The sequence below is a fragment of the Homo sapiens genome, chromosome 13 (genome assembly GCF_000001405.40).
Source record: "Homo sapiens chromosome 13, GRCh38.p14 Primary Assembly".
Classification (NCBI taxonomy): domain Eukaryota; kingdom Metazoa; phylum Chordata; class Mammalia; order Primates; family Hominidae; genus Homo; species Homo sapiens.
Genome location: NC_000013.11, coordinates 57,961,746 through 57,971,259, shown reverse-complemented (window position 1 = coordinate 57,971,259; position 9,514 = coordinate 57,961,746).

Genomic DNA, 9,514 nt, shown 5'->3' with positions numbered 1-9,514 from the left:
ACTCTCCTGAACTCTTGTAACTTAACAACGGAAATACATTTTTCAGACTGAATTATCCTGCCAGTTGTGCATCATTTGGTGACATAAAACCATCTTACAAAATACAATATAACCTCAGGATTTTCTCCTCACTACATCATGGACTTTGCATAACAGCTACTCTTTCTCCCACTGAGCAAATGAGCCAATAAGGTGAGGTAAGGGAAGAGGTGGAAAAGAAAAGAAGTCGAGAAGAAAGTCATTTTTCCTAGCCATGTAAGAGAACATGTAACGGCTATGTTATCTCATTCAACACAAAGAATCCCTGGATTTCTTTTTTTCACCACAAAGCAGTCAGTATTCCCTCCTCCCCAGCTATCTTACCCAACAATACTTCAGAGACAGTTTGGTTCTTTGGCTTTTAGTGTCTGTTAAAATGTAGAACTGAAAGCACACTATGGAGCTTTGATTTAGCATTTTTTTTCCTTCTCACAGAAACAAAAACCTAAAGGAATTTTAGGTTCTTCTAAAGTGATCCTGAAACCACAACTAAAAGTCAGGAATCAAAGGACAAACCATTGTCCAGGCATCCTATTATCCTGAGCAACGTTATGTTCACCAAGAACTTCAGAGGCTTCTAAGGGTGTTTATGCAAATTTCCTCATAGTGTGGGAGATATCTAGTGCTATCCATGCCATTTAAATAAGTACTTGAGCTCAAAGGGAAAAATGTGGTAAGCAAATGCTACAGGGTGTCAAGAGACTAAGAAAAATGTTAAACCTTACATAAAAATAAACCCAACCCCAAAGATTAATGACTGTGCAGAAGTTAAAACTGGATAAGAAAGAAGAGTATAATATGTAAATGTGACAGAATTCATATTGTCAACTCTTTTAAGATTCCTAAAATATGGGTTCAGCAAGGAGATTTATTTATAAATATTGTAATGTTTGAATTTTACTTGAAGAGACTATTGTTTTATCAAAGACCATAAGTGTAAAAACAGAAAGAATTTGTCATCAGAGGGTAGGAAAAAGCTCAACATCATCACAATACTAGGAAGTGTTTTTTTTTTTTTTTTTTTCTCTATTGACTTTAATTAATCTCTCTCTCTGGACTTCTGTGAGATGGAAAAAGGTTTATTTTTGTTTTTAGAGCTTGCTTGCCAGATGGAATTCTTTGAACTACTACTGCTCTAACTCTGCCAACCACAGCATTCACAGCTAAAGATTTTAATTTGTTTTACAACCCGACAAAAGTAGAACAAGTAACTGTGTATGTAGTGGAGTAGGGAGGTGAGGGTCAACCCTGAGGACACAGACATTTACTATTAGTAAGGTAGGCATGCAATGCCCACCTCTTTCTGTTTCTTTCTTCTAATTATTATAAAAGATCCCTGGCACTGAGGTCAAAATTTAACATTTTTAAAAATCTCTTTACCATTATCTCTAAAATAACAATGACCTAAGTAGAAGCTTGGTTTTTCTTCCTGTTACATTTTTTTTTACAACATACAAGGCACCACATTGCCTATAGTAGTTGATATACACAATTAGATGCATTGATTTAAATTTCAGTGTGATCAATTTAAGTCAGGATATATTGTTAAAAGTGCTACATATTAGAAAAGCCAGATAGAAATGCTTTTGAAAACAATTTTAAGCATCACAAATAATATATAGGGGATTTAATTCTAACATGATTCACCTCACTAAAACTTAATGCTTGCATACTAGTCAAAAAAGCAATTCACATGAAAACTGATGGTTTTCCTACTGAAATGTTCTTCCCTCTTCCATTACCCTTACATTGCATAAACGTTAGCTTACTAATGACATTCTGTGTTCTCTCTGATCTAGGGCAACATATGAGAAAAGGAAGAGGAAAGAAGAGGCAGTTGATTTGAATTAAGAAAAATACTTTTATTTAAATTCAATTTTTAATAGTAGCTCATATTGAGAGGGCATAGACAGAGGGGATTTAACTAGTTTCCCAGATAGACAATGGCAAAATCAAAGCAAAAAGCAATCCTTCCTTCTTTTCCTCCTTTCTCTCCATCTCTTTTTTTTTTCTTTTCTCTTCCTCTCTTTTTTTAATGAGACAGAGTCTGGCTATGTTGCCCAGTCTGGTCTGGTACTCCTGGACTCAAGCCATCCTCCTGCCTCAACCTCCAGAGTAGCTACAATTACAAGTGTGAGCCACTGGGTTTGGTTCCTTTTCTTTCTTGCTTGCTTGGTTTTCCTTTCCTTCTTCCTTCATCGTACATTTACTGATTAACCTATTATGTGCCTGGAAACATAAGTACCAAATATCTTGATATATGGCCATGAAGAAAAAAAATTATCTACAAATTTAAAATCCACAAATGTTGAATAAGAAACTGCCATTTTAGGTTCTGTGTTAAAGTTGAAAAACAACTGGTAAACAATAGAGATACCCCTTGATATGGTTTGGCTGTGTCCCTACCCAAATTTCGTCTTGAATTGTAGTTCCCATAATTCCCATGTGTTGTGAGAGGGACCCAGTGGGAGATAATTGAATCATGGGGAAAGTTTCCCCCACACTGTTCTCTTGGTAGTAAATATGTCTCACAAGATCGGATGGTTTTATAAAGGTAAACCTCTTTCGCTTGATTCTCATTGTCTCTCTTGCTTGCTGCCATGTAAGACGTGCCTTTAACCTTCTGCCATGATTGTGAGGGCTCGCCAACCACATGGAAAGTGTGAACCCATTAAACCTCTTTTTCTTAGTAAATTACCTAGCCTTGGGTATGTCATTATCAGCAACACTCCTTGTCCTCATGTAGTTTGGTACCCAACTTAAACTGTAAGAGTTTAGAATTCTGCCAAAGTTACTCAAAGCTACTCAGTGACAAAGACTACAATAGCAGTCATAAATATACATTTCCTATAAGTATTATTTGCTATATGCTAAACTAAATGCTAATTAGTGTTGCTTTAAGAAAAAATATTACTTATCAATGATTCTAATGCTAGCAGCAATTTTCAAAAATGTGTACATGCAGCAGTAAAAAAAAATCCCAGAAGCCAATAAAAATCAGTTGTATACTGTTGTTCTAGAATATTATATAGTTTGCTAACCATGTGTCTGTATCAGATTCCCCTCCAAAATTTTACTGCAAAAATTTCAAACATGTAACCAATTTGAAAAAAAAAGTTAATCATGTATAACCACCTAGATTCTATAAATATTTTTATATGTTTGCCCTAGACTCTCTTTTAAAATGTGTATTTTTACTCAAAATAAAATAATACTGTTCAAACATAGACAGCTAATCACACCAAGAACAATTCTGTAGCCATATGAGACAATCATTATTTCATAGAAAATCTAATGAAATCAGTGAGAACTTTGATCAGACACAAATGATAATGGCCTCATACAAAAGATGACATTCAAAGTTTTTATGCCCATTAGAATAACAGTATAGAAAAACAACATATGTTTTAGAAAAGTTCTTAAACTATCTTGGCACATAAAGGCAGAAACTAAATTAATAGTGTTTATTACCATTTTGATTAAGCTTTCATCATGTACTATGGCAGCAAATCCTGCAAAATCAAAATCAATTAAGTAGTTTAATGAAAATTTTGGAATTGACACACTCTCATTCCCCACCCAACTATTGTCATCAACAGCAGAGAAATTGTATTTTAAATCATTTAGTTTTTTATAAATGGCATTTACACTTGCTACTATTACACTTCACAAATATTAGTTAAGTGTCATATGAAAGAGGTGTAAAAAAGCATAGTTTGTGTAATACAAATAACAAATGCCTGGAAATTTGAAAGTTGCATTCTAGACAATGATATATGTGACTCTGGTTATGCATACCTCTGGGCATCAAATTTGTTATTGGTTTCTTTTTTACCTTTGTCAATTGAGCAAAATGACAAGACAAATCTCAATCATTTTAGGAGATTTATTTGCAAAAGTTAATGATGTGTGCTTGGGAGACAGGTCTGTACCTTTTTCCAAAGATGATTTTGAGGGCTCCAAATTTAAAGGAGAAAGGGTGGGATATTGAGAAGTACACAATTTTCATGTAAGAGGTGGGTAAGGAAAAATAGTCATGCATGCCTTTGTCTGGCTCAGTGAATCTGCATTTTTTACATAAGATGACATAAAAGAAGGGGGCAGAAGAAAAATGCAGGGAATCGAAGATAACAGATGTATCTTTGTCAAACATAACAGACAAAACAGGGCAGAGAAAATCAGATATGCATTTGTGTCTGGTGGGCTGGGGATGATCTCACCTGCAAAGATAAGCTATGACTTTGCACTGCCACGGTGAAATTTTAACAGCTCACTAGGAATTTCCTAGTGGGCAAAATATGGGGGAAGCATGTTGCTTTTCATCTTATAGCCATCTTATTTAGGAACCAAAAGGGGGAGGCAGGTTTGCATGACCCAGGTCCCAGCTTGACTTTTCCCTTTGGCTAAATAATTTTGGGGTCCCCAAATTTAATTTCTTTTCACACTTTTTTTTTTTAAAAAGAGAAAGATTGAGTATGTGTGTGTGTATTTATGTTTATATATGTGTGTGAGAGAAAGGCAGAGAGAGAGAATGAAGGAGACAAAAAGAGAGTGTGTGTTGAATGAAGTTCTTCCTAAGGTTTCTATAGTTGGTAATTGAATGACCTAACCAAACATCTTTAGTCACACTAAGGTAATTAGGGGGATTTTGGCCTTCCAATAATGGTTGTAGGAATTGATTAGGATAAGTAGTTGTTTTTGTCCATTTGGGCTACTATAAAAAACTACCATAAACTGGGTAGCTTATACAGAGCAGAAATTTATTTCTCACAGCTCTGGAAGCTGGGATGTCCAAAATCAAGGTATCAGCAGATTCAGTGTCTGGCAGGGGCCCATTTCCTGAGTCCTAAAACAGTGCCTTACTGAGGTGTCTTTGCATGATAGAAAGGGTGAGCTAGCGCTCTGGGCCTCTTTTCTAAAGGCACTAACCCCATTTATGAGGACCCCACCCTCAGACTGAATTGTCTCCCCAAGACCCTACCTCTTAATACCATCACTTTAGAGGTTAGAATTTCAACATCTGAAAGCTGGGGGAACTCAAATACTCAGACCATAACAATAGTCTTTTATTATCCTTACCTCAACTTTACTAAAATATAATTTACAAAGCCTGGCAAAGGTTTCTTCCAGGTGCTCTTTCCTTTTCACAGGATGATATAGCATACTTTGGCCCAGTTTAAACCATCACCCTGACCTGGCTCCAACACTACTGTCCAAATCTGAACTACATGACTTCTAGCTCCAACTAGTTAGGGATTAATTCCAAGACCCTGTGGTTTTAACTCACCCCTTTGATTTTAACTTAGGATGAAATCACCTCACTCTCTTTCTCAACTCCCACTTACCGAACCTAAAATAAAAGTTAAATAAAAAGATAAAAATTCCACCCCCATGTTCTCTAATACAAATGTTTGTGCCCCGTTTCTTATTGATACTGTAGGTATGTTTTTCATATATATCCATTGATTTATCTTATTCATTATTATACCAGCAACCCTAGGGCTTTTGGAAAATCTGGAAGTAAACATATAAATAGCACTGCAAAAGTAAAACAGATAGGATATCAAAACAGAGAAATCATCTCATAACTTCTGGACCTAAAAATTGTATTCCAGAATTATTTCAAGAATGCTGCAGGTGTGATATTCACAGATCATATAAGGAAGACAGGTTAGCTCAGCAGTCTGAACAACCAAAGAAACAAGAGTGCCTTTCACTCATGGGTCCCAACATGCAAAGGATCCCACAGTGCAAAAGTATTCTCAGTCTCTATATGCAGAACAAAAATGACAACTCAAATATTCAAAATTGGCATAGTGCTTACTATGTAGCGGGCCCTCTTCTACATGTTTTACATATACCAACTCATTTAACACTCAAAAATTCTTTCACACAGGGAACATGTTACAGTTGAGAAAAATGAGTCATAGGCAAGTTAAGTAATTTGCCAACTTACACCCCTAACTACTTGACCCATACCATTTGAGCCCTTTCATATTTGTCTTGCCTAGCTCCATTGCTCATCTTTTGTCACTTAACTCCTTTTATAACTGAATCCTCTTCAATATCATCCATTTACAAATTCATTTCACAAAGCATATCCTACAAGGCTTGGCCATTACTGTTGTTCCAGGAAATAGAATTTCTCCTGCTTCAAAAAGCTATGGATTCCTTTTTGAGACAGACAGAATGACCCACATTTAGAACAAAGGTAACTGATCTATTATTTAGAATGTCTCAGATCCAAAAGAATAGTACACAATCAATGCATGGCATTAGACAACATGTTCTTTTCTCCAAATATTTATTCGAGGGATCACAAACAGAATAAAAACAGAGAAAAAAAGTTTTGAGTCTTAGATATCTGTATACTAATTTATCCAGACTCCAGTTTTATCTGTGGCTTTAAAATATCTAAAAAAAAAACCCCTTATTTATCATTCTCTTCAAAAAAACGATCAACTGAAAAAAATATATGAAAAGTAATACAACTTTTATATTACTGAATATGTTCTTGACTATTCCTGAAATATCAAAAAAAGAGGACGGTTATACAACCAAAAATATAGGGATTGCTATTAAGCAACATTTATTCACATTTCATGACATTTCCTAAGTCTCTAAATCTCACATCCACAATGTGAAGTGACAGCCTCATGGGAGAGCCTGCACGACAGGGGTAGCTCGAATCCTAATTCTGTGTCCACCTGCTTGCCAGTTCTTGTTACAGCAGCAGTAACAGTTTATAGGCTGATACCCATGAACTTTATAACTCACCCATAGGAAAAATACCTAAACCTTCTCCAGATTAAACGAAACCAGAACAATCAGAAAAGTAGTGCTTAGAAACACTTTTATGTTCTTCAGCATACACTGTATAACAATCTTGTGACAGAGTTTTCTAATGTTTTTGCAAAGAGAAACAATCATCTCTGGCACTAGAAAGAACCCAAGACTTGCATTCTGCAATGCTAACCACCTAAAATAAAGTAAGGAATGCTACTTAATCTCAATGTCAATTATTTAATAATAAAATACAGTGAAACTTTCTCACTAACTTGAAATGATCAAGTAAATATTTCCCAGCCTCAGAATATAATTTATTTAGTATTTTATGAATAGAATCTATTTCCTGTTTCAGTCTTTTGATACAAATTATCCAAATATATTCTAACACCTCCTATAAATAATTCTATAATATAATAAAAATAGCTATCATTTATTGAGGACTAATATGAGGGCCCATTTTGAATGCTTTATATTTCTCATTATTCAGTAGTTTTGACCACCTTTAAGTGTAGGTACCATTGGAATCACTGCTTTACAAATGATAATATTAGGGCACAGAAAGAAAAAAGTGATTTTTCCCAAATTTACACAGTTAAAAGTGACAAAATCTATATCTGAACTCAAATAGTGCTAATTCATCTCTCCAATATAAAGTGGGATGCACTTAAAGGCATTCTATTAAAATGATGTTATTACACATTTTAATATATTTTACTACTATTTACTACAGTAAATTATATTTACATACTGTCATATATGTGCTACACTGAAGTAAAATTTATTTTGATTTTCTTAGGTCTACTTTTTTACTTTATCCTTATTTATTTATTTATTTTTAATTATTTTTAGTTCTGGGGTACATGTGCAGGATGTGCAGGTTTGTTACATAGGTAGACTTGTGACATAGTGGTTTACTGTATCTTTCAACCTATCGCCTTGGTATTAAGCCCAGCATGCATTCTATACTCTTTCTTCCCACCCTCCACCCCACAACAGGCCCCAGTGTGTGTTATTCCCCTTCCCATGTCCATATGATCCCATCGTTCTACTCCCACATATAAGTGAGAACATGTGATGTTTGGTTTTCTGTTCCTGTGTTAGTTTGCTGAGGATAATGGCTTCCAGCTTCATCTATGTCCCTGAAAAGGACATGATCTCATTCCTTTTTATGGCTGCACAATATTTCATGGTGTTTGCGTATCACATTTTCTTTATCCGGTCTATCATTAATGGGCATTTGGGTTGATTCCATGTCCTTGCTATTGTGAATAGTGCTTCAATGAACATATGTGTGCATGTATCTTTGTAATAGAGTGATTTGTGTTCCTTTTGGTATATACTCAGTAATGAGATTGCTGGGTCAAATGGTATTTCTGGTTCTAGCTCTTTGAGGAATCACCACACCATCTCCCACAATTGTTGAATTAATTTACATTCCCACCAATAGTGTAAAAGCATTCCTATTTCTCTGCAACCTTGCCAGAATGTTGTTTCTTAACTTTTTTTTTTATTTATTATTATTATACTTTAAGTTTTAGGGTACATGTGCACAATGTGCAGGTTAGTTACATACGTATACATGTGCCATGCTGGTGCGCTGCACCCACTAACTCGTCATCTAGCATTAGGTATATCTCCCAGTGCTATCCCTCCCCCCTCCCCCCACCCCACAACAGTCCCCAGAGTGTGATGTTCCCCTTCCTGTGTCCATGTGTTCTCATTGTTCAATTCTAACCTATGAGTGAGAATATGTGGTGTTTGGTTTTTTGTTCTTGTGATAGTTTACTGAGAATGATGATTTCCAACTTCATCCATGTCCCTACAAAGGACATGAACTCATCATTTTTTATGGCTGCATAGTATTCCATGGTGTATATGTGCCACATTTTCTTAATCCAGTCTATCATTGTTGGACGCTTGGGTTGGTTCCAAGTCTTTGCTATTGTGAATAATGCCGCAATAAACATACGTGTGCATGTGTCTTTACAGCAGCATGATTTATAGTCCTTTGGGTATATACCCAGTAATGGGATGGCTGGGTCAAATGGTATTTCTAGTTCTAGATCCCTGAGGAATCACCACACTGACGTTCACAATGGACAAATGGGATCTAACTAAACTAAAGAGCTTCTGCACAGCAAAAGAAACTACCATCAGAGTGAACAGGCAACCTACAAAATGGGAGAAAATTTTCGCAACCTACTCATCTGACAAAGGGCTAATATCCAGAATCTACAATGAACTCAAACAAATTTACAAGAAAAAAACGAACAACCCCATCAAAAAGTGGGTGAAGGACATGAACAGACACTTCTCAAAAGAAGACATTTATGCAGCCAAAAAACACATGAAAAAATGCTCACCATCACTGGCCATCAGAGAAATGCAAATCAAAACCACAATGAGATACCATCTCACACCAGTTAGAATGGCAATCATTAAAAAGTCAGGAAACAACAGGTTTCTTAACTTTTAAGTTAAGAAACTGGTGTGAGATGGTATTTCATTGTGAGTTTGATTTGCATTTCTCTAATGATCAGTGATGTTGAGCTTTTCTTCACATGTTTGTTGGCTGTGTGAATGTCTTCTTTTGAGGTGTATCTGTTCATATTCTTTGCCCACTTTTTAATGGAGCTGACATTCTTCACAGAATTAGAAAAAAACTATTTTAAACTATTTTAAAATT